The 27403-nt window shown below is 37.5% G+C and overlaps 1 long non-coding RNA gene across 1 annotated transcript in view; it reads right to left on the bottom strand.

Annotated features, from left to right (window-relative positions):
* The window catches only part of LOC124904565 (uncharacterized), a 91837-nt gene extending 66073 nt beyond the window's left edge, over positions 1-25764 (bottom strand). Inside the window, exon 1 of the long non-coding RNA XR_007066966.1 lies at positions 25701-25764. This is a non-coding gene — a long non-coding RNA (uncharacterized LOC124904565). The remainder of the gene's footprint in view (positions 1-25700) is intronic.
* Between the last annotated feature and the right edge of the window lie 1639 nt (positions 25765-27403).

Below are 27403 nucleotides of genomic sequence, written 5' to 3'. Positions count from 1 at the left end.
CTAAGTGCATTCTCATTCTCTCTCTCTCTCTCTCTCTTTCTCTCTCTGTCTTTCTCTATCCTTTCTACTTCATAATCAAATTTCCCATTTGACTATATTTAATGTTATTATTGAAAATCAACTTTTGGCTTTGTTGACCATCTCAATTATGTTTTGGTATTCTATGTCATAAACATATGCTGCTATCTTTATCTCCCCTTTCTTCTGCCTCATTAAGTTTAGTTATATTACTCTTGTGCTATTGTCTCCAGTTAGACACATGCTCATTAATCATTATCCTTCCTTGTATGGTGGGAGATTAGCTTATTGTTTTAAAATATTTCCATGCACCCCTACCACACCATGAGGGACAAAAGAACTCCTCCTTTTTGATTTTGAGCTCAGTCCTGTGACTTACATTGGTCAAAGAGTTGTTTGGAGATGATACCAGCAGAGCCTTGAAATGCGTCTGCTTGACGGGCACTTGCTCTCACGTACTTCCAACCGATGCATGAGACAAGTGTCTCTTGAATTGCCATCATCCCTTCAGGCTCCTGATTAGGTACCCAGGAAAGTGACCTGCCGACCAGCAGCACGAAGAGGCAGCGCCACCCCACTGACCTGCAGACCCAGGATCATGTGATACAGCGTATGTCATTTTGTCCCACTGAGTGTGTGGGCTTTGTTACAGGAAAATTCTGACACACTTGTTTTCCAAAATAAGGATTAATGTCAAACATCTCTTTGAATCGCTCTGCTAATCAAACATCTCGCACCTAGAATCAAGCATCTTGCTTATTCTTGATTAACCATCACCACAGAGATCCTTCTTGAGGTCGTATGGGATGAGGATATCACCCAAGAATGTAAAACAAGAAGAGAAATAAGAACAGAACAATGAGTAGTAATGATTCTTAGGATTTGGACCAAGTTCAAAGAATTCACTGTTATGTGAGCACATAGAAGGCACTATATGACTAAACAGTGAATGAATGGACATTGTGGAAGTAATTGTACAGCCAAGGGTGCCCTTCGATTTTAACATGTTTAGGAAACTACTTATTTCAATACTTCTACTTTTGATCCCCAAATTAATGATACCCCCAAAGCTATAAAATATTGGTGATAATCCATATGTTTTTTTATAACTATAGTCTACATGAAATAAAAACTTCTGTTTCCCCTCACCTGCATTTCTTAACATTACTACTGGACTCTCCTGCTAAGCGGTGTCTAATGAGATGAAGACAGCCCCTCAGCTGATTCTGCTAGTTACAGCCTCTTTTCCCAATTAAGTAGCAAGAGCCCAACTTAAAAAAAAAATCACGCTTTTTAATTAAAAAGTTGGTTAAGTGCAATTTTTTGGATGACTTATGACAGAAAATACATACATATTTAAAAAGTCAGGTAATTCATTTTTCTTCCTTTTAAATGAGTTCATCTGATTCATGCAATGATTTTTTGAAAGACATCAGCTAGCATCATGGAGCCATTCATTTAAATAGGTGAAACAAATTATACCACAGCAGAAACATATTGGGAAGTAGTAAGAGAAACTGGTTATAATTATTTCTTCTGCTAGATATTTGCTTTGTTATTAGGAAAAGCCATAAAAATTCCCCACACTTTGGTCAACCCAAGAATGAGAGAAAACACATCCAAATCTCACATTATATTATACTGAATTAGTACCTTATCTTCCTTTCAAAAATGAAATTGCATCGTTGCTCTACTATGCACTTAATACTATTTTAAATGATGTTTTCCTATTAAAGAAAAAAAATGACAATCAATCTCAAGTAAGTCTCTACTAAAACAAAATGAAATTTGTATACACACAAAATATAATCACAGGATTCATTATTATTGGCATAAAAGTTAAAGACAGAGCTGTTTGGGAACCCATTTTACATTTAATTAACCAGCTTGAATTGTTCTTCATATTATCATCTAATTATATTTCTCTATTATGATTATAAAAGTAATTCTCATTGGTCTGGACTCTCCAACATTCTATAAGGGAAATTGATACTTTTCTTTCTGGTAAAGAGAGACATTAAAATACCTTTCCAGTACCCATCCCCTCTGCCCTTATTTTCTCTCATGAGGATTGTACCTGGTTAAATAGAGGAAACATAGAGCAATAAAAAAATAGAATTTTTAGAGACTGTAAAGAGTGAGCACATGTGAACATGAACGTGGCTACTGTTCACAGGGTCACTGAAGGCTGTCTCTGGACAGGGCTGCATTTCTTCATTGACTCAGCCCCTAGACCAATTGATGATTCTGTAAAGGGAGCAAAGCAGTTCAAGAAGGCCAAGCCACCAGAGCAGGGCAACTGTATTCACAACTAAGCACTGGCTTGGCTGTCCTCTGTGACTGCGTGCCAGTGGACATGCTTCTTTCATGTGTGGTTTTTCAATAATTACATACCTGACTGAGACACCAAAAATTAAATGAGGCACAACGCATCAGTAGGAAAATAATTGTGTTAATGATTTTACAGAGATTAATGTAAAGATAAATAAAATTCCATATAGCACAGAAGAAATTTTAAATGAGATCCTTTACTCTTTTGTCCAAGTAACATAGATTCCCCTTAAGTATCTTGCACATAATATTTGATGACAGTTGTTAATATTATTTGCATATCCTCAGTCACCCTTATAATGTAATGTGTAGATAATTTACAGAAAGTAAACAGGTCAAGACTTAGATTGACAAAGACTTTTGCTATAGTTTGCATATGGGTTTTCTGTCTCTGCTAAATCTCATGTTGAGATTTGATATTGGAAGTGGGGTCCAATGGGAGGTAGATTGCTCATGAATAGGCTAATGCCTTCCCTGGTTGGGGGCACGGTGAGTGAATTCTCACTCTATCATTTCTCTGGGGAGCTACTTGTTACAAAGAGATAGGCACCTCCCCTGTCTTGCTCTTTCTTGCTCTGTCACCCTGTGATCTCTGCACAAACCAACTCCCCTTCACCTTCCACCATGAGTGGAAGGAACCTGAGGCCCTCACCAAATGCAGGTGTCCAATCCTGAACTGTACAAGACATCAGAAACATGAGCCAAGTAAATTTCTTTTAATTACCCAGTCTCAGATATTTCTTTATAGCAACACAAAATGGACTGAGATCATTGTAAAATGTATTAGGGTGTCTGTATGTTCAAATAATAATAAAAACATAAGTAATGACTTCCAACTGCTATCTGGTAAACGTCGCTAACTTCATTTTGCTTACTATTATCAGCTAATGGTTAATAACCAATGCCAGAAGAATGAAGAGGTGGGCACCTACATTTACACATCTTTTTAGAATAAAACGGTCTGAAATTATTCTATTAAAACACACAGCTGTTTTCTGTTTTAGCGTGACGTATCAACAAAATTTGGCATTTGTCTTAAACTTTTTTGAGGCTAGTGCAACTTCTTTAAACTCAAAAATATCAACTCCTCACCCAGAGAAATCAGCATACCCAGGCCATTTTTATTCTGAACTGCAATCGTGATATTCAGTAAAAGGTAGTTATTGCTTCGTCTGTTACAAACTGCCAAGTGTTGTTTACTCATGGTGGAAACTTAACTGAGAACTTGTGAAAATGCAAAAAAGAAAAAGGGGGGCAAAAGACTTGCACATGCTAGGTTTGAAAATCATTTTGTAAAATTTGTAAAGTATTGATTGTTCACTTAAGTAATTTTGTAGCTGTAGTTTCATACAGCTGGACCACCACTTAGAGAACAGGCCAGTAACTGGGGCCCCAGGGGACAATGACTTGCCCAAGGCTGCTTATTTAGTGGCAGAGTGGGAATATCATGAGCCTATTTTTTATTTCACCACGCTTCATTTTCATTTATCTGAAATCCAAAGAAGCATGTAAATAATCTCTTAATCTTTCTAAAAAACACTTAGCCAATAGCCCAAATTTTCTTTTTTTCTTTTTTCTTTTTTTCTTTTTTTTTTTTTTTTTGTTAAAGAGTCTCACTCTGTCGCCCTGGCTGGAGTGCAGTGGCTCAATCTCGGCTCACTGCAACCTCTGCCCTCTGAGTTCAAGCAATTCTCCTACTTCAGCCTCTGAGTAGCTGGGATCATAGGCGCCTGCCACCACACCTGGCTAATTTTTTGTATTTTTAGTAGAGACAGGGTTTCACCATCTTGGCCAGGCTGGTCTTGAACTCCTGACCTCATGATCCACTCGCCTCGGCCTCCCAAAGTGCTGGGATTACAGGCATGAGCCACCAAGCCCGGCTCAATAGCCAAAATTTTCTAAAGAATCAAATATACTTTTGTTTGGGTCACAAGGAAATATTACGCTTCTTGATTGTGTTTTGACAAGGGTTATTGGGTGTTCATTTTACTTGGGACCATTATTTCCAGAATACGCTGTTAAGGGAATAGTATTGCAGTGAGAATAAAAATCACATCTCACAGATATTTTGTTTGTTTATATGCTTAAATTAAATAATGTATGTAATGCTTAGAGCTTAGAAGAATATCTGGCACATAGAAAACTCTCAATATTTTCGCTTAGTTTTATTATTCTCTAAGCCATACTTATCTGCTAAACCACAGCTATAATTATTGTGTTGATGATTATTAACTGTTAATTATTTTTCATAATTTAAAACCTTCCTAACTCTCTTGCAGTGTGTTAACACTCCCTCTATTATCTAATTCTAAGTCACCTGCACTCTCCACTCCCATTTTGTATAATCTTAACTCCATCAGGTCCTACTTGCCCCGTTCCTGGGATAAAATGAAATGCCACATTCTTTGTAGCTGTATGCCAGGAGAGTACTGCCCAGAAGACAACTGGAGAGTTAATCAGGTCAGTAACAGAACTGCAGACTGTTGACAGGTGCCACAGAGGTCCTCTAAACCCACCAAGGAAACATTTATAGCTGCAGTCCAAAAAAGGAATAAAAATTAGAAACCTGAGGGAGTGTGGTCTGTTACGGGGAGAAGAATACGTGTCAGTCACAATGCGGCCCTCCAGATGCTTTGGGGACTGTCTGAGCAGAAGCAGCTTTCCTCTCCCCACATCTTATACAGTGCAAGGTGCAACCAATGACACTCACGATTACTGTATATTGAAGAGTTATAGCCATCTTGATAGACTTTTTGCTTAATACTTTAAATGTATGGTTTCTAAAAAGCATATTTATGCAATACTTAATTGCTTTGGTGGGTTTCAAAAAACATAACTAATGTTTAAAGCTATCTAGTTTTTAAAAAAATTCCATCCAAATTGAGAAGTATAATACGATATAAAATATATATTATGATATATAATAAACATATAATATATATAATATTATACATTTATATTATAAGCATGGATTAGAAAGATTTCATACAATAGGGGATAAAATTGGGCCCGGCACGGTGGCTCATGCCTGTAATCCCAGCACTCTCGGAGGCCAAGGCAGGCAGATCACCTGAGTTTGGGAGATTGAGACCAGCCTGACCAACATGGAAAAACCCCATCTCTACTAAAAAATACAAAAGTTACCCAGGTGTGGTGGTGCATGCCTGTAATCCCAGCTACTCGGGAGCCTGAGGCAGGAGAATTGCTTGATCCTGGGAGGCAGAGGTTGAAAAAAAAATTATCCACCATTTCACACCTATTCTATTCACTTAATTATCCACTATTTCACACCTATTCACTTTATTCCAATGTGGACAATAACAATTTAGATTCGATAAAGTAAATATAAATGACCATTAAAATATTTGATTTAATTTAAGGGAATAATTGAAGTACTGACTTTAGAAATTCAAATAACTTATATTTGTACATACAACCACTGCTATTTTTGTTATGTAAAATTTCCTATTTACTTCATAAAGAGAAGTAGCTACATATAATTGTCTGTGTTCTTAGCAGGACAAAAGTCCTTCTGGCAATCAGATTACATTTTTAAGTAAATAAAATATTCCTTTAAGAGATATGAGAGCTGAAATGGTATATTTTCTCAAGGAGAAAGAAAACAGAATTGTTTATGCTTTTCACCCCTCACAACCTGGCCTCAGAGTTGAACCCTCTGGCAACCCCTGTCCAGGTCCTTGCCAAAGAAAAGGCTAAAGGAAAGCTTCTCAGACTCAGAGCTACCCAAGGCTCACTAGTCATTCTACTCGTATGCGGACCAGCTTGCTTCTGGAAAAACTACACAGTAAAAAAAAAAAAAAAAAACAGCCAATGTGAGAATGTTCAAGGTTTAATAACAAGTTTATTGATATTGTGCTGGTACTATTACTATGTCAAATGCTGTCTCTGGCCGGGCACAGTGGCTCACGCTTGTAATCCCAGCACTTTGGGAGGCTGAGGCGGGTGGATCACCTGAGGTCAGGAGTTTGAGATCAGCCTGGCCAACATGGTGAAACCCCGTCTCTGCTAATAATACAAAAATTAGCCTGGCGTGGTGGTGCGTGCCTGTGATCCCAGCTACTCAGGAGGCTGAGGCAGGAGAATTGCTTGAACTCAGGAGGCGGAGGTTGCAGTGAGCTGAGATTATGTCACTGCACTCCAGCCTGGGTTAATGCCATCTAAAAAAAAAGAAAAAAGAAAGAAAAAAAGAATGCTGTCTTTGCATGTTCTCGTTGACTTTTTACCACAACCCTATCAGGAGAGTATATTTGTAATTTTTATTTTACAGACAGAGACTGAGATCTGGAGAAAGTCAAGCGTTTAATTGCAGCGGAGCTGGGGCAGGAAGTCAAGGAGACTGTGGGGAAAGCTTTTACGTCAACACGTCTTCCATGAAAACTGCTCCTTAAAGAGCCAATCATCAGAAAGAGAAAACAACAAGAAGCGGGAGCTCATTTTCAGGCTGACTACACAGGAGTGCTTCAAAGCGACCTCCCTGAATTTTGCTTTTCCTTCCACCCACACTGCTTTCTCTCCTTTTTCTACGTTCACATGTGACTTCAATACTACTTCCCTTAGTACTTTGTAATAAATTACCATAAGATTTCATGTTCAATCTTTCGTTTCTTTTCCTAAGACTCAATTATTATAGTCTTAGAAGTATTAGGCCTGAGACCTCCACCTCACAGAAATTTGGGGTTATACATCAGCAAAGGCTCTCGGTGAGGGATGTGTGTGTCTGCCACAGTGCTTGTCACGCACATGGGCACACTGAAAAACTACTTCATTTAATCCTCACAACTCCATGTATTCAAAAGAATGAGCTACGTTCCTCGGATAAAATTGCTGAGGGTCTTCAACACAGTTCACGAGATAACAATTGTCTGGGTTGGTACCTGCTGGAGATCTGTCTTGCCCAGACCTGTGCTCTGCCAATGAGTATCCATTTCATCACAATTGCTCCAGATCCACATGTTTCAGAAAACATTACAATCAAAATGTAGTTATTACTTGACTCCCTACCAAAGACCAACTTGTGTGGTATAAATTCAAATGTATTCCTCTAAAATACTATTGCCAGGTCAAAAATCATTAAATTTCCTCACAAGAATTTTAAACACACATTTTCTGTTAATAGGTGAGTTGATCTGCCTTATTTATTTATGAAATCAGACACTTGACTTCTCAATGGTTGGTCACTGACTGACACAAGATCAGTTTTGTAAATTATTCCCTTTTTCAACCATTTTATTACTAATTCAGGTAGATAGGCTTAATTTTGTTTTGCTCAAGAAAGCAGCAGGAATCAGTACATCATTTTTTTTTACACATTTACCTCATACTAAAAGTATAAAATATAAAGGAGAAAAATTTCAAATATCACCACATCACGGATGTACTTTGAAGGTGAAATGAATTAATTAATGAGGCACTGTGATTAATATTTCTCCATAAATTGTCTTACTGTAGCATTAGGTTTTGTTTTCATTTGAATTTCGAATAAATCCATGCAGAGAACATAATTACTTTCATTCCCATAAAAACTTGCGATTTTCAGCTAACTGAAAAATTAAAATAAATTGAATCAGTCTTCAAGAGAGGTCGTTACAAAAATAGACATACATACAAAGATTAATATCCAATGTGTGAAATAATACATTTTTAGACAAAGATAAGTAAATATGTATAATAGTGGTGAAAACTTGCCAATGTTCCAGAAATAGTCAAGAACACAAAAAATGCATGTCTTATTTTTGCAACATAACGTGTCGTTATAAAAATTGCATCTCAAGGTATGTATATAGAGATACATGAACTCATTTCCATAATTTAATAATGTTAAATGACTTATTTTTCTGGGAGTTAAATAAAAACAACTCAACTTGCCTTTTGTAATCTAGCTTCTGTAATCTCACCAAACTTTGAATATTTTGAATGAATACACAGATACATAAACAATATACTTGGATGTTAGGAATTAATTTTTATGTAGTTTGGTATATAGAATTTTTTTTCAGAGATAAGTAACCTAGAACATTTGCATTTTCTTCACAAGCAATAGGTCTTAGGTGACTTAATTTGTTTCTTCTAATATAACAGTTTAGCATCTCCTTGTTACCATAGTATAGATTACCTCTTGTTAAGAAGATGCCCAATTATGCTGCAGCAGAATTAACTAAACTGTGATCTAGGGAGGTGAATATAAGGGAGTTTCTGAGCATATCCACTAGCCTAGCTATCAGATAGTCATGAGCTGCTCTTTGCTGATGATAAAGAAGGTATCAATGAAGATCCCTTATTGCAAACTACACTCCTGATTTCCCCAGGGTATCCAAGAGGCCACGTACAAGGACGGTGTATAGAAAGCTGGTACTAGATCACTGAGAAATAAGACTTTATCCATACTTCACTGCTACTGATCTGGTAAGAGCCCTGCTACTGATCTGGTAAGAGATAACTTATATCTTGGTTTAGCACGATCCCCTTAGTGATGAGTGCGCTCTTGCTCAGTAAATTCACACAAGATCTTGTTGTTTAAAAGAGCCTGGGATCTCCCCCCTCTCTCTTTTCTTGCTCCTGCTATTACCATGTGATGTGCCTGTCCCTCGCTTTGCCTTCTGCCATAAGGAAAAGCTCCCTGAGGCCTCACCAGAAGCCAAGCAGATACCAGCACCATGTTTGTACAGCCTGAGACTGTGAGCAAGTAAACAGCTTTTCTTTATAAACTATCCAGTCTCAGGTATTTCTTTACAGCAAGGCAAGACCAGACAAATACATACTAATACATATCCTGACCTACTAACCTGGATTGGGAGAAAGGGGTCAGTGTTAGGTGTACTCGAGTTGTTACACAGGCAAGTTACACACACACACACACACACACACACACACACACACACACCCCAGCTACAACTTTTGCAACCAATAGATATTGTTCTTTCATTCTTGGATTTTAAAATTGCTTTTCAGAAGCAAATAAAGGGTTCAGTATATTTTCATGAGGGAAACCTGTATCAAGGACGGCTTTAGTACAATCTCCAGTTTATTAATCCACAGCTATATTTTCCCACTCAGGCTCCGTGGAAGGATATAATGGCACCAAGGTGGTAGGTAATCATTTGACCTCCTAATCTGTATAATTTAGTTATTTGTCAACCAAATCCAAAAAATCCTCCCCTACTGCCATCCAAACTAGTGTGTGGTAAGCCACTGGGCCAGCAAAATTCCCCACTTTGTTCTATTATGGTGGTTTATATTTCTCCTTGCTTCTGATGGCACCAGCATCTAGCATGAGAAGGTTCCTTTGCTGAGCCAAACTGGACCAGGGAAGGTAGGAATGGCAGGGGAGAGTCTCTGCCCAGGCCAATCACTCAGTTCCCTACAGAGAGGAATATTTATTGTTATGTTACATTATGCAATATGTTTAGCTCATCCACTAGGGGAAAATTAACAAAATGTAAAATTCCACACTCTAATGAGCAGTTTGTGTTATCTTACGTCTCAAGAGGATTTTATATTTGCTGACTCTACAAAATTAAAGTGCTTCTTTATTTTGTCCAACCTTCTCATTGCTCACATCCTATTAATGATCAGATTCTGTTATTCTGCCTTCTGAATATAGTCATATGTCACTTACCGATGGGGATCTGTTCTGAGAAAAGCATCTTTAGCAGATTTTGTCATTGTGCAAATATTATAAGATGTACTTACACAAACCTAGATGAGGTAGCCTACTACGCACCTAGGCTACACGGAATATCCTACTGCTAGTAGACTACTAACCTGTGCAGCATTGTTACTTTACTGAATACTGAAGGCAATTGTAACACAATAGTAAGTATTTTTGTATCCAAACATAAGTAACCAAAGGAAAGTCACCGTATGACTATGGCACTATATCTTCTTTTGAGAATTGTCTATTCATGCCTTTTAGCCCACTTTTTGATGGGAATTTTTTTTCTTGCTGATTTGATTGAGTTCCTTGTAGATTCTGAATATTAGTCCTTTGTTGGATGCATAGATTGAGAAGATTTTCTCCCACTCTGGATTGTCTGCTTACTCTGCTGATTATTTATTTTGTTGTGCAGGAGCTTTTTAGTTTAATTAAGTTCCATCTATTTATCTTTGTTTTGGTTGCATTTGCTTTTGGTTTCCTGATCATGAACTCTTTGCACAGGCCAATATCTAGAAGAGCTTTTCTGATGTTAAATTCTAGAATTTTTATGGTTTCAGGTCTTAGATTAAGGTCTTGGTCCATCTTGAGTTGATTTTTGTACAAGGTGAGAGATGAGGTTCCAGTTTCATTCTCCCACAGTGTCTTGCCAATTATCCCATTTGTTAAATAGGGCGTCCTTTCCCAACTTCATGTTTTTGGTCGCTTTGTTGAAGATAACTTGGCTGTAAGTATTTGGCTTTATTTCTGGGTTCTCTATTCTGTTCCATTGGTCTGCATGCTTGCTTTTATACCAGTACCATGCTATTTTGGTAAGATATACAAATGGCCAACAAACATATGAAAAAATGCTCAACATCACTAATTATCATGGAAATGCAAATCAAAAGGACAATGCGATACCAGCTTACTCCTGCAGGAATGGCCTTAATTAAAATATCAAAAAATAATAGGTGTTGGTGTGGATGTGGTGAAAAGGGAACACTTCTACACTGCTGGTGGTGATGTAAACTAGTACAACCACTATGGAAAAGAGTATGGAGTTTCCTTAAATAACTAAAAGTAGAACTAAACTACTATTGGATCCAGCAATCCCACTACTGGTATCTACCCAGAGGGAAAGAAGTCATTAGATGAAAAAGACACTTGCACATGCATGTTTATAGCAGCACAATTCACAATTGCAAAAACATGGAACCAGCCCCAAAGCTCATCAATCAATTATATATATATGTATTCACAATGGAATACTGCTCATTCATAAAAGTGAATGAAATAATGGCATTCACAGCGACCTGGATGGAACTGAAGACCACTATTGTAAGTGAAGTAACACAGAGATGTAAAACCTAATATTATATGCTCTCACATATGAGTGGAAGCTAAGTTATGAGGATGCAAAGTCAAAAGAATGACATAATGGACTCTAGGGACTTGGAGGGAAGGGTTGGGGGCTGAGGGTTAAAAGACTACACGTTGATGCAATGTACACTGGTTGGGCGATGGGTGCACCAAAATCTCAGAAATCACCACTAAAGAACTTTTCCATATGACTGAACACCACCCATTCCCCAAAAACCTATTGATATGGTTTGGCTGTGTCCCCACTCAAATCTCAACTTGAACTGTATCTCCCAGAATTCCCATGTGTTGTGGGAGGGACACAGGGGGAGGTAAACATGGGATTGGGCCTTTCCCATGCTATTCTTGTGATAGTGAATAAGTCTCAAGAGATCTGATGGGTTTATCAGGGGTTTCCACTTTTGCTTCTCCTCATCTTCTCTTGCCACTGCGATGTAAGAAGTGCCTTTCATCTCTTTCCACAGTTCTGAGGCCTCCCCAGCCATGTGGAACTGTACGTCCAGTTAAAACTCTTTTCCTTCTCAGTCTGCTGTGTCTTTATCAGCAGTGTCAAAATGGACTAATACAGTAAATTTATACCAGTAGAGTGGGGCATTGCTGAAAAGATACCCAAAAATGTGGAAGCAATTTTGTAACTGGGTAAGAGGCAGAGGTTGGAACAGTTTGGAGGGCTCAGATGACAGGAAAATGTGGGAAAGTTTGGAACCTCCTAGAAACTTGTTAAATGGCTTTAACAAAAATGCTGATAGTGATATGAACAATAAGGTCCAGGCTGAAGTGGCCTCAGATGGAGATGAGGAACTTGTTGGGAACTGGAGCAAAGGTGACTCTTGTTATGTTTTAGCAAAGAGACTGACAGCATTTTGACCCTGCCCTAGATATTTGTGGAAGTTTGACCTTGAGAAAGATGATTTAGGGTATGTGGCAGAAGAAATTTCTAAGCAGCAAAGCACTCAAAAGATGACTTGGGTGCTGTTAAAAGCATTCCATTTTAAAAAAGGAAACAAAGCATAAAAGTTCAGAAAATGTGCACCCTGATGATGCAGTAGAAAAGCTCACATCTGTAATCCCAGCACTATGGGGGCTGAGGCAGGTGGATCGTGAGGTCAGGAGATTGAGACCATCCTGGCCAACATGGTGAAACCCCGTCTCTACTAAAAATACAAAAATTAGCTGGGCATGGTGGTGCGTGCTTGTAATCCCAGCTACTTGGGAGGCTGAGGCAGGAGAATCGCTTGAACCCAGGAGGAGGAAGTTGCAGTGAGCCGAGATTGCACCACTGCACTCCAGCCTGGCAACAGAGTGAGACTCTCTCAAAAAAAAATGAAAAAAAAAAAAAAACATTTTTTGAGGAGAAATTCAAGCTGGCTGCAGAAACTTGCAAAAGTAGCAAGAAGCCTAGTATTAATCTCCAAGACCATGGGGAAAATATCTCCAGGGCATGTCAGAGACCTTCACAGAAGTCTCTCCCATCACAGGCCTGGAGGCCCAGGAGGAAAAAGTGGTTTTGTGGATGGGGCCCAGGGTCCCCATGCTCTGTGCATCCTAGGGCCTTGGTGCTCTGTGTTGCAGCCACTCCAGCCACGGCTGAAACGGGCCAGTGTAGAGCCCTGGCTGTAGCCTCAGAGGGTGGAAGCCCAAAGCCTTGGCAGCTTCCAAGTGGTATTGAGCCTGTGGCTGCATAGAAGTCAAGAATTGATGTTTGGGAACCTCCACCTAGATTTCAGAAGATGTATGGAAATGCCTGGATGCCCAGGCAAAAGTTTGCTGCAGGGGTGGGGCTGTCATGGAGAACCTCTGCTATGGCAGTATGGAAGGGAAATGTGGAATCAGAGCCCCCACACAGAGTCCCTACTGGGGCACTGCCTAGTGGAGCTGTGAAAAGAAGGCCACCATCCTCCAGATGCCAAAATGGTAGCTCCACTGACAGCTTGCACCATGCCCCTGGAAAAGCCACAGACACTCAATACCAGCCCATGGAAACAGCTGGGAGGGAGGGTGTACCCTGCAAAGCCACAGGGGCAGAGGTGCCCAAGACCATGGGAACCCACCTCTCGCATCATTGTGTCCTGGATGTGAGACCTGGAGTCAAAGGAGATCATTTTGGAGCTTTAAAATTTGACTTCCCTGCTGAATTTTGGACTTGCATGGGCCCTGTAACCCCTTTGTTCTGGCCAATTTCTCCCATTTGAAACAGTTGTATTTACCCAATACCTGTACCCCCATTGTATCTAGGAAGTAACTAGCTTGTTTTTGATTTTATAGGCTCATAGGTGGAAGGCACTTGCCTTGTCTCAGATGAGACTTTGGACTGTGGACTTTTGGGTTAATGCTGAAATGAGTTAAGACTTTTGGGGACTGTTGGGAAGGCATGATTGGTTTTGAAATGTGAGAACATGAGATTTGGAGAGGCCAGAGATAGAATGATATTGTTTGGCTGTGTCCCCACCCAAATCTCAACCTGAATTGTCTCTCCCAGAATTCCCATGTGGTGTGGGAGGGACCCAGGGGTAATTATATCATGGCTGCAGGTCTTTCCCATGCTATTCTAGTGATAGTGAATAAGTCTCAGAAGATCTGATGGATTTATCAGGGATTTCTGCTTCTGCTTCTCCTCATTTTCTCTTGTCACTGCCATGTACGAAGTGCCTTTCACCTCCCACCATGATTCTGAGGCCTCCCCAGCCATGTGGAATTGTAAGTCCAATTAAACTTCTTCTTCTTCCCAGTCTGGGGTATGTCTTTATCAGCAACATGAAAATGAACTAATATACCCATTTAAATAATAATAATAATTTTTAAAATATGGCATTATAATCCTTTGAATCCACCGTTGTATTTGCCATCCATCCTTGACCAAAATATTATGTGGCACATAAATGTATTTATTCAGTCTCTTTATTGCTCATGTCCTCATTGCTACTGCTTAGTTCAGCCATTTGTTTTCTAGATTTCTGCATTGCACTGGACATCATACAAATCTCCAGAGATTAAAACAACTAGATAAAGCAATTGTTCTCAGCACTAAAGAAAAACACAACAGAATTTGTATTTTAGAGTTTCCACCTGGCCTAAGACCCTCTTCCCTTAAGACTGATTTCTCAGGCCTGGAGGGGTGACTATGTAGCTCTGTTTCTAGTGTATGTAACCCTGCTACTCTGGGCAAGGAAGAAGGGCTCAGGCTGGACTCCTAAACCTCATTTGGAAACAAACTCTTGGTCTCAGGAATTCAGGTTTGGAACAAAGTGATTTTATTTAATATCTGTCAGAATATGGGCCAGGACAACTATTTTTCATCATGCATAAACACAGCAAATCAAATAAATTAGTGTGTAGAAATTATAAGCATAAGGCACAAGCAGCAAAGAAGAGCAAGCCTATGGGCCTGGGGTGGAGATGCCTGGGTGGATGGGGTCCCAGCCCTGGTCTCAGTCCATTTTCTTCTTGTTTATGCAAGTTTGAGAGTGTGTCTCTTTTTTGATACTTCAAACTTATAGGCCCTTAACCAAGGAAATAGCAATCTTTTGGAGAAGAAAATACCAATGTTGAAGTGAAATCAAATATATAAACTAATAAATTATAGTTTATGTGATAACTGCCACAAGAGAAATACATCTAAGGTATGAAAAAGATGATCTTACACATAAAAGCATGGCATATGAGGTCTGGGCATGGTGGCTCACGCCTGTAATCCCAGCACTTTGGGAGGCCGAGGCGAGCGGATCACAAGGTCAAGAGATCAAGACCATCCTGGCCAACACGGTGAAACCCCGTTTCCACTAAAAATACAAAAATTAGCTGAGCGTGGTGGCAGGTGCCTGTAATCCTAGTTGCTTGTGAGGCTGAGGCAGGAGAATCACTGAACCCGGGAGGCAGAGGTTGCAGTGAGCTGAGATCGCACCATTGCACTCCAGCCTGACAACAGAGCGAGACTCCATCTCAGAAAAAAAAAAAAAAAAAGTATGGCATATGAAAAGATAACTTAAATACAAAAATAGCATTGCATCAGTTAACATGTAACAATTAGTGTAAGAATAGTGGTTTCAGCTGAAGAGAGAATTACATTTAAATGCATTGCATTGCGAAGCTCTGGAAATGTTATCTCAGGGGTTCCTTGTGTGGATGAGACATCACATAAAAGTTGGTGTTTTGTGGTTGAATTGCCTGAATACCACGAAATTCTAAGCCTAGTGAAACTGTACAGAAGGTAAGTTTACCTATTAACACGGCACACAGTTTGAAAATATTTTCCTTCCTCCCTTCATGTTTGATCCTTTGATTTCCTCATATAAAGGTTCTTAGAAGCTCTACCCTCCTTTGAGTCCCAGTGTAAGCCTGTATCCTAATTTTATCACTCTTTTCTTTATCTATTCATTTTTTCCCCTGTATCCATACCACAATGTAATCAGTTTAAAGCTTGAAATGTTTTGCCTATTTTTATCTCCCTAAGAAATAATATCTATTTTGGCACGCAACAAGTGCTCAAGAAATGTTTGTTGGATGAATGTATGCATATTGAATAAATACTATGCAGCAGGGATTAGCAAAATATGGCTCACGGGCCAAATTCAACCTACCATTTATAAATAAAGTCTTATTGTTACATAGCTATGGCCTTTGATTTGTATATTGTCTATGTGTCCTTTAGTGCTAAAATAACTACTGAGTAACTGCAAGAGAAACCATTCGGACTTTCAAGCCCCAAATATTTCCTATCAGTTCCTTTAGAGAAAGAGTGTGCTGAACTCTGTACCAAGTTATTGTCTTAATGTACAAATTTCAAATATGTTTTGTGATTGAAAGATTTCCTAGGTTTATATGCAGTGTGTATGCTAAGTTCATAATAGTCTTATCAGGTCAACAGCTTCATAAATTGTGTAAACTAAACTTATTTATTAGAGTGAAATATTAATAGGTAACAAAGACAAAATTTGATTAATGAAATAATAAAAACAAAACCCAATAGGGAATCTTACTATTATTTTATAAATGTATTCTTGATAGAATCTTTAATGAATATAATAATAATAATTAATATATTTATATTACTGGTTGACATAGTATCTCACATATACTTCGCTAAAAAATTTGATGGATGTCAATTTTCAGCTTAATAAATAATATTCAAATTTTAAACACATGACTATTAAGTTATCAACATAGTTTAATGTAAATCAGTGTCCTTTATCTCTAGATCTTTACCACTCTTTACCAGAAAAATTTAAAATGCCTGGGAAACTCCCTCTCATATTTGTCTGCTCAAAAACTGTTCATATGTTATGGTAAGAATGCAGGGCTACTATTTTTAGCTAGCACTCAATATGTTAGTATGGGGACTGCTGTCTCTTGGGGTCTTATTAGTAAAGGCAAGAACACCTGTAAAGAAGTTCAAACTGAAAAAATAAAAAAAATTAAACTGTCACTCTTTGGATGTATGGACTTCATAGAAGATAAAAGCAATGCAAATGTAAATTATCATTACAATATTCAGTAGAAGCATTCTGGAACCTGAAATATTTCTGGTTCCTTTTTGAATATGTGCATATTTTTAAAAATTATTATCTTTGCATCATTCTTAAATAGTCTAAGGCAAAGGATTTCAAGCTATTCCCTCTGGAGCCAGAGGATGCCTCTGGACAGCCTTGGGGTCTAATATATTACAAATGAGAAGCTGTATGACAAGGTCTCCAGCCACTTCTCAGGATTCAGCCACTGTTCTGCATTTGGGTCCAGGTATTAAGATTCTGTAATGAGGTTTTGTTTGGAAAAATAGTTTACATGCTCAAAAATATTGTTATTTAATATTACAGGATTTGTTAATTGTTCATCCCTAAGTGCTGTGTGAAATTTATGTTTGTGGGCCGGGCGCGGTGGCTCACGCCTGTAATCCCAGCACTTTTGGAGGCCGAGGCGGGCGGATCTAGAGGTCAGAAGATCGAGATCTTCCTGGCTAACACGGTGAAACCCCGTCTCTACTAAAAATACAAAAAATTAGCCGGGCGTGGTAGCGGGCGCCTGTGGTCCCAGCTTCTCGGGAGGCTGAGGCAGGAGAATGGCGTGAACCCGGGAGGCGGAGCTTGCAGTGAGCCGAGATCGCGCCACTGCACTCCAGCCTGGGCGACAGAGCGAGACTCCGTCTCAAAAAAAAAAAAAAAAAGAAAAGAAAAGAAATTTATGTTTGTGATAAGCCAGGTGGCTATATAGCCAACAATTCAGGCAAATGCCAACCTGATCCCTTGTTCCCACAAATCCTTTGCCTTGTTCCTACAAGTGATCATATTTATCACATATTTATATATGTGTGTGTGTATATATACATATATATATGTATTCTTGATTTGACGTCTTTCAAGTTATTATCTAAATGTAAATATTCAAATTATGTCTTTTGTTTGTTTGTTTGTTTGTTTGAGACAGAGTCTCCCTCTGTCTTCCAGGCTGGAGTGCAATGGCGCCATCTTGGCTCACTGAAACCTCCACTTCCCGGGTTCAAGCAATTCTACCACCTCAGCCTCCAGAGTAGCTGGGACTACAGGCATACGCCACCACGCCAACGAATTTTTGTATTTTTAGTAGAGATAGGGTTTCACCATGTTGGCCAGGCTGGTCTCTATCTCTTGACCAGGTGATCTGCCTGCCTCGGCCTCCCAAAGTGTTGGGAGTACAGGCGTGAGCCACCGCGCCAGGCCCCTAGTTGAAAGTAGATCCCAGTTCATATGCACTCTATAAACTAGGTTGATAGACTGAGCTAATGCTATTGCCTCCCACCCCAATTTAGTACACTAAATGAGACACACTCACACACACACGTGGGTGCACACACACTCCTAAACAAGCTAGGGAGAAAGACGGAAGAAGCCTCAGGAACCAGAAATTTTGAGTTATCTCTGGATAATTTAGATCAAAAGAGATGTACTCAAGAAATAAAATTATACTCTGGTTTTCTACAGAAAGTACTGCTGGATGTATATGTGCCAGAAGTGAAGAGCCAGGGAGAGTAAAGGCAGGAGGCAGGCAGACATCCAGCAAAGCACAAGTGACCAGCTGAGGTGCAACAAAAGGAACAAACAAATGGTCACGCTCTCCATGCATTCTCCACCCTACCCTTTGGGCCAAGCTATACTCGGTCTTTCTATCTCCAGGCAGTACCAGGAGCAGCGAGGGCTTGAGCTTGAGTCAAAGAGACAGGTAATGCCTGCTAACACCCAGGAGAAAAGGATCAGAGGTCTAGCAACCCAAATACCCAGCAAGCAGTTAAAGTGAATGCTTTTGGATATTTTCTCATTCTCACTAAAAACAGGATGAAATATAAGCATCAGAAATAACAAAATAATTTACTTTCTAGGAAGAATTACCCCATAATCAGGAATTACCAAACACTGTTAAGATGCTATGTCTTAAAGGACATTTCAGTAAACAGAGAGAAAGCACTACATCCTGGGAAACAACAGAGCAAACAGGGTAGGACTTCAGAATACATATTAGGTCCATGAAAAAGAGTTACCAAGATTTTATGCAAATTAAACTTTGACATTTCATCTCAGTACATGTGGACAAAATGTGTCCAGGGCACAGAATGAAAAATAAGTTAGCATTAAGAAGGCAGAGTGGAGAACTTGTACTGAACACAAAACAAGGGAATATAAATATAAATAGCAAAAATGAAACTTTAAAATTTGGAGGTTAGATCCCAAAATGTTAAAAGATTTATATTAGGTATTATGTATTCCAGAAGTTGTGAGTAAATACACTCAAGTAAACTAAAAAAAAAACATAAATCCTTACATTTATTATCTACCTAGCACTTATCAAGTTTTTTTAATCTATGTACCTAAATACATTGTAATTGTATTTCAAGACATTAAGGATAAAGAGCTAATTCTCAGAGTGTCTATGAACAAAAGAAAAGATTCAAGAAAATGATGGAAAAATATCATTAAATGCTGATGCAAAATGCATATACGTCAGTTATATACTAAGTAAAATTTTGATTACAAACATGAGTATCAACTAAAGGCATTTTGACCTCAAATTAAACTTCATAATTCACTTAGAAATTAACTCAAAAGACAACACTTACTTAAAAATAAAGCAACAATTTCTAAAGCTTTTAAAAAAAGTGAACAATTTTTGGAATTAGGGCTAGGTAAAGAGTTCTTAGACTTGACACAAAAAGCAAGTTGCATAAAATGAAAAGTTGATCAATTGTACTTCATGAAAACTAAATTATTTTGATCTTTGAAGGCATATGTGAAGAGGAAAAAGAGATAATTTCCAGACTTAGAGAAAATATTTGCAAGCCACATATCCAACAAATGACTTGCCTCTAGAATATATTGAAAAAAAATCCTCTCAAAACTCAGCATTAAAAATTACACAATGCAATGAGAAAATGGGCAAATAAACATGATAAGACATTTATTTAAAGAGGGTATTCAGATAGCAAATAAGCACATGAAAAACTGTCCAACATTAATCATTGCAGAAATGCAAATTTAAAACACAATGCTTTATTATTGCACATCCGTCAGAATGACAAAAAGAAAAAGTAGTGACAATACCAAATTCTGGTGAGGATCTAGAAAAACTGGATCATATATTGCTAATGGGAATTTAAAGTGGTACAGTCACTCTGGAAAACAATCTGGAAGTTTCTTATAAAACTAAACATAGAAGTGCCATATAACCCAGGAACTGAACTCTTGAACTTGTACCCCAGATAAATGAAAACCAAATTCTAAATAAGCTCAGGTAGAATTTATTTAGATAAGTTGCATAATAAATATTTTATAATTTAATACATTTCAGTTTTAAACACTTATATGACATTTTTCAATATTCTGTTATTTCTAATTGTCATTTTATTCATTTTGTTTTACCAGCTAAGAGTCTATAGTCCACAAATAATGATTGAAATCTCCCTTTCTCACCTTTCTATATTTTATTACAATTCAAATAGAACTTTTACCGTAATTTCGCACAACAGTGATTCAAGCTAGATATGCAATATGACAGAATTATGACAAATTTGAAAAAAAAGTGATGGGATTGTATATCACAGAGTATCAATGGAAATTAATATATTTGAAAACATGAAGACATTATTATTAAAAAGAATAGATGGGCCTTTGATCAACCACACTAAGAAGGAAATGGAGGAGGTATGATAGAAAACAGAGTTTAGAATGACACCTATGTCATCAGCGTATGTCATTGATTAATTATCCATGCCATTTACAAGGTCAGGAATAGAGGAGGAGGTGTAGGTTAGAGAGAAGGCAGCTGTGCTTCTGCTACATGCAAAATCGGTCCATTGCTTGGTGCTCTGTGAGCACTCTGTAATTAGAAAAAATAAATAAATTCTACCTGAGCTTATTTAGAATTTGTCCCCGCTCCTGTTCATGTGTGCACGCACACACAGGCTCACACATTCACGTTCACACCTCACTTCACAAAATAAAAAGAAAATGTATACGACATGGTGAAAAAAAATACGTAAAAGCATAATAGCAATTTTGAGTGTGCCCGTGTAAAGATTAAATTTATTTCTCTCTCCAAGAGAATAAGCATTTTCTATTCTGGGGGAGGCTGAGACAATCAGAAGATGAAAATTGCAGTGTTAATTTTAAAGGTTATTTCCCCTCATCTCACAGCATCCAAAATCATTAAATTCTGTGTTAAATTAATTTGCATAAAATGGCTTTCAATAAAATACAATCGGTATAAACATTTTATCTGCCAAATCCAACGATTGAAAGGGACTTCCAAAATATATATGTCATATCCAACAGTAGTTCACAAAAATGGCCATTCTCCTCTCATAGGGAGAAATCTGTCCCATAAAAATAGACTAATTGTGTTTACTTTCCCGAAAAGTTATTTAAAGTTACTTTGAAGGAAAAAAAAAATGCTTCCTAATTAGCATTTCAATGCTTTCAGTTTGAAATGAAGCAGTTCACAGCAACTTTCGTATTGAAAGCTTTAGGAATTCCTAATTTATATACAGACAGCTGAGACAGGTTTGTCACACCATAGCAATCTCAGTGGAGTTCATGAGTTACAGCGCTGTCACTTCTGCTTTACTGGATTTTCAAAGTGCTACACCAGGTTACAGGAAAACTGTCATGTGCAGGAGATATACTATTTGAACCAGAAGAAAGAAAGAAGAAAATAATCCATTCTGCTCTCATTCCAAAATTCTCTTTTTTCTCTGGTCATTTTTATGTCTAGCACTTAGTACCTGAAACCGATGGACGATCAATAAATGAAAATTGAATTGAATATGATCGGGTTGAGTCAACTTATCTGGAGACACAGAAAACCTATTGTTCCCCTTGACCCCGGAGCTTGTAGAACTTTTGCTGCACACAGTTTTATGTGCTAAGGGAAGTTACATTCAGTGACAAATTTTAGAAGGCAGCATGGTTGTAGAGTAAGAGTGACATAGTTTTGAATCCCAGCTCCACCACTCTTAGGACCTTTGGCAAATAATTCAGACTCTCTGAGCCTCACTGTTCTCACAAGTGTGAGAAAGAGGAAAGTTAATTTTCCATGGCCTAGACTCTTTGCTTAGGAAAACTCTTCTTGCTAAATATTTGGAGAAATTAGGGTACTCATCGAAATTGGCTTCAAATTGTTAAAACATTACAACTATGGTGAAGGCTACAAAATCTGTCATTTTTAAAATGCAAATTTTGCTTTTGAATATCACATTACACAGATTATCACTGTCACTGTATTAATTTTTAAACAATTGCTCCCGAGTTCAGAAAACAAGACCTGGAAAACTACAGGAAGAATGTGTATTTATCTTGACCTAGTAATGAATACAAATTCATGAAAAGGAATTGAACCAGGCTAGAAAACAATCATACATATTCTAAGTAAGCTTAAACTTTGGAAAATGTACCAATAGTAGTTTATGGTGTTAAGGGACAGGCTGACAGGGTGCCAATGTCAGAGCATGTGAGAGGTAGAATGGAAAAGAGGACACTGGGGAATTCAGCATTAGAGTGGATGAGCCAGGACTCTACTCCTATCTGGTGCTTTGTGATGGAATAAGGGTCTTCCCCCAAATGCACATATATCCAGGAGGAATGGTCATGAAGCTGCCTCCACCTGGAGGGAGGATAACTAAATCATCTCAGAAGAGATAGGTTATAGCTGAACCCCAAGGGCTCCAAGATCAAATCTTTATCTTGTTCAAAATTTATCTGGGCTCTAATGTTATGCTGTTTTGTTTTCTTCAGGTCTTCAGGAAAATATCCTTAATATATAGCCAGATATAAGCTCTGCTGTGGTTAGTACTTATCCTTGGGTGAAAGATGGAAAAGAGAGTAGACCACTTCTTGCCTCCTTTGCTGTCTCTATCTCCTTTGCTCTCACCTCAACAGGTAGTAACAGAAGAAAAGCTGAAGGTCCCAGAATAGCTTCTTATCAAAACACCATAAGGGAGCTACTATGGAGAGATATGTACTTCATAAATGGTTCTAACCCACAGGAGCCAGGAAAAGACAGACTGACACTTTCTGCCATGGACTCATGAGGAAGGAGATGCGAAACTATCAGATACTAAAGACAAGGGACCTTAATAATAAGAACCCCCAATTATACTGTGTATTTATATGTCTCTCTAAAACTTCAACTTACATGCATTTCATAATTCATGTAATCAAATAATAATCAAAGTTATGCTTGCCAACACTTGCAGATTCTTTACTGTAATTCTGAGCAAATGATTTTTTGCCATTGTTTCTGTATTTCTTCAAATGCAGAATAAGAGTGCTCAGACAGTGTCCTCGTTTGTTTGTTTGTTTGTTTGTTTTTGAGACGGACTCAGGCTCTGTCACCCCGGGTGGAGTGCAGTGGCACAATGTCGCCTCACTGCAACTTCTGCTTCCTGGGTTCAAGCAATTCTTCTGCCTCAGCCTCCCGAGTAGCTGGGATTACAGGCATGCGCCACCATGCCTGGCTAATTTTTGTATTTTTAGTAGAGATGGGGTTTCACCATATTGGCCAGGCTGGTCTTGAACTCCTGACCTCGTGATCCGTCCAAAGTGCTTGGACTGCAGACGGGAGCCACTGCGCCTTCCCTGGCAGTGTCCGTGTTTCTTAGTATCCGATTCTGGAATCATTAGGAAAATTCTGCTAAATGTAACACAGACACTGTTTATCAAAACTGTTCTTCAGTTATTTCCTCCCAAAGAACCCTTCAAGTATTCTGTATAAAACTAATTTGCCTTTTAATTTAAGAATTAGAAAAAAAAGGGTAATGTGTTTTCCCCACACCTGCAATGTGACTCATGTAGCGCTCAAACAACCCTTCTGGAATGTCATGTTAATATATCAAATTTTTAGAATTCTTATTTTTTCCACGTGTACATACCTCATACATAGTAAGGCAGATTTTGAACCAAGATTTGATGGACTCCTTTTGATCATGTATGTATGCAAAAAGAGATCAATTTATTAGGTGACTCAAATATTCAAGGAAATTATAGAAATAGTCCTAATTATTATTTTTTCCATTCTCTAACTCACATGAAAATGTACATTATTCTCCAGTTGGATAACCTTCCTCAGTATAAGCAGGACTGAAGTTGATGTGATTGTCGCTACTTCTGGACCATGAACTGGCACCTGTTGATCTCATTTTCTAAAATTTTTACCATCAGTTTGAAACCCCAAGAAAGATAATTACATAATATATTATTTGAGGAACACAAATTCAACCAAAATAAGATATCATCGCACACTTATTAGAATGATTAAAATTTAAAAATTGAACAATCCCAAGTGTTGGCTAGGATAAGGAACAAATTATGAAAACCTCATCATGCGATTGTGGGAATGGAATATACCACCCCTTCAGGGGGAAAAAAAAGTATTAGGAGGGGTGCAGTGACTCACCCCTATAATCTCAGCACTTTCGGAAGCCGAGGCAGGAGGATCACTTGAGCCCAGGAGTTCCAACTCAGCCTGGGCAACATAGTGAGGCCCTGTCTCTACAAAGAATTAAAAAATTAGCTGGGCTTGGTGGTGTGTACTTGTGGTTCCAGCTACTTGGGGGGCTGAATGGGAGGATCACTTGAGCCCGGGAAGTTGAAGCTGCAGTGAGCCATGATTGCGCCACTGCATTCCAACCCAGGTAACAAAGCAAGGCTCTGTCTCAAAGAAAATAAAAACGTTTTAAAAAATCATTTTAAATTTATATACACTTACCCTATATCCCAGTGATTCTACTTTGAGGTACTCAAGAGATATATGTCTGCACAAAGATGTGTTCACAATTGTTCATAGAAGTTTTATTTATAATAAAAAAAATTGTAAACAACTTGAATTTCCATCAGCAGATGAATGTATAAATTATGAGGTAGGAATATTATTCATCAATAAAAATTAATTATATGTAACAACAATATAAATCTTGAAAAAATTATGCTGAGTGAAAGATTCCAGATATAAAAAATAACCTACCATAGATATGGAAATTTGATTTCAAATTCCATATTTGAATTGAAATTGAATTTGAAATTCCAAATCTGAATTTGGAATTCCATACCATTGATATGGAATTCTAGAGGAGAAAAATGTTACGATGACACAAAGCAAATTTTTAATCTCCTGGAACTTGGAAGACAGAGTACTTCAAAGGGCCAGAAAAATTTTTCTGAAGCAATGAAAATATTCGACATCTTTTGTGTGACGGTGGTTACAGGGGTGTATACATTTGTAATGAATCATTAAAAAGTACATTGACAAAAATATGTGCATTTTATTGTATGTGAATTTTACCTAGAAAGTGCATACAATTGTCTGATTTTCAAAGAAATATCTGAACTTTTTGCAGAAAATTTTTGTACCATGTCTCAACCATCATCTCTAACAAAGAATTAATAATAAAAAACCCCAGGAATGTTACTTTAACGTGAAGGACTCATTTGTAATGGTGAGAACAATAACAACAACATTATAGTTAGGCACAACTAATTTGGAAAATTTGAAAACTTCTGTGAAAATGTCATCTATAGTTTGTAGATGATTTGGTCTCTCATATGTGTTGGAACTTGACATCAAGCATCAACCCCAGGTTTGTGTGTTTGCTGTCCCTTAATTTGGCACCATGGCTGCATATAGCTAGTGATACAAAAAATAGTGATATGACAGTCAATCACTTAAAATGTAAACTCTTCCTCTACAGAGGAAATAAAACCTCATATTTAGAAATTCTTAAGTAGGTACACCTGAGTTTCTATTTCTATTGTTTATATATTTTCCAGGTGTTATATATCATTTAATATATTTAAAAATCACGTACCTCTTAATCCTTAAGTCTGAGACTGGCCATTGCTTCCCAGAAGTTATGGAACTAGAGCTTCACGCTTAATAGGGAACAAATTCATAAAATACACATTATGGGTATACATCTTTAAATGGCTGCCCATTTCCAAATGTATTAGCTTAACATTTCAAAATTTAATTTTTAATGTGTAATCATTTAAACCCGCCTTCATAATAACTTTATCATTCGTGTTTGCTCCCAGGCCTGAGTTTCAACCAAAAAAGCCCACTGTTGGTTCAATCTAACTATGTTTATTCTTCTACATCTTGGCTTTCATTCAAACTGCTATGCAGCTCAATGAAGAAGTGTTAAAGAAATATGGAAGAATAATTGGACTTGATAGGAAACTACTCTGATGAGACATCACAAATGTCTAATTTGCATTTCTATTATTTTCCAATTGTTTTTATCAGAAACATTTGCAAGAATATAGGAAAATTGGCTCAGAAAAATCATTTGTTCTTGCTGTTGCTTCACTAAGTGCTTTCATGCATCATGATATATTTGGTAGCTTGGGGGAGGATTTATTGTGTCGCCAATGGGATATTACCACTTCTGAAGAGTTAAAAGACAAAAAGCAGAAATGAATGCAAATGTCTAGCACACAGTTACATGCAAGCACGTGCACACTCACCACACACACACACACACACACACACACAGTAATCTAGAAGAGAGAGAAAAAAGAGTGGAAATTCAAATTTTTGGTAAAATTCTTTTTTCTCATTTAGCAAAATGTTTGTTTAAAGCCACTAGTATTAGTACAATAGCAGCATAGTTTGATAATGTATTGTGTTCTTAAGTACACATGAAGATATTTAAGTATTTCCTGATTGACTATGATGTGCTCAGTCTTCTTTATAAACCACTGAAGACATGAAAATGCATTATTAAGAAGAGACATCTTTGTAGGGGAAGATAAACTTTTTTTAAGTTTAGATACTTTCTTAATTGATGATATTTTGGAAATGGAAGACATGATTTAAGCCAATACCTAAAAACAGCCAAACCTTTTTAGTATAGAATTCATAGAGTTCCATAAGTTGTCTAGATTGCAATTTTCAAAGAGCATGAATTTAACCAGAAGCTTAAACCTATGATTGTTATCTATCATATTGTTATGGGTAAGGAGAAAAATTTCTAGTTCAACAGCTTAAAATTAGTAATTTATATATCCATTCAATGAGCTTTAATTGGATGTAAGTTTATTAAACATAAAATATTTATATACCACTGTTGTTAATATCTGTAGTACTCACTCTTGGAATATTATGACAAAGATTACCTTATAGACTGAAAGACGACAGATACTACTGCTGTCTTGTTCATTGCTTTATTTCCATTCACTAGTGTATGGCCCCGGTACAGTAAATAATCAATCAACATTTTGTGTGTGAAAAGAAATGAATTCAAAGTAAGCTTCATAGTTATATATATTCACAATCTTAACTCATGATTCCTCCATAAAGAGTTTTATTTTAAATTTTGTATATTTTATGGTAATTATTTTGTATTCCAGAAGAATATTTCAGTCCAGTAAGTTTTATGTCAACACAATTAATCCTTGTATTTGACAAATGAGATTTTCCCCCATAAACAAATTACACACTGGGAAAAAGAAAAACAGAAAAAGAAATGTTTAAAACAAATATACGCTGTTTAAAGAATTCTAATAAGAT

This window comes from Homo sapiens, chromosome 1 (genome assembly GCF_000001405.40).
Source record: "Homo sapiens chromosome 1, GRCh38.p14 Primary Assembly".
Taxonomy (NCBI): Eukaryota; Metazoa; Chordata; class Mammalia; order Primates; family Hominidae; genus Homo; species Homo sapiens.
Note: the sequence above shows the minus strand (reverse complement) of the source record. Positions and strands in the feature narration are given on the sequence as shown.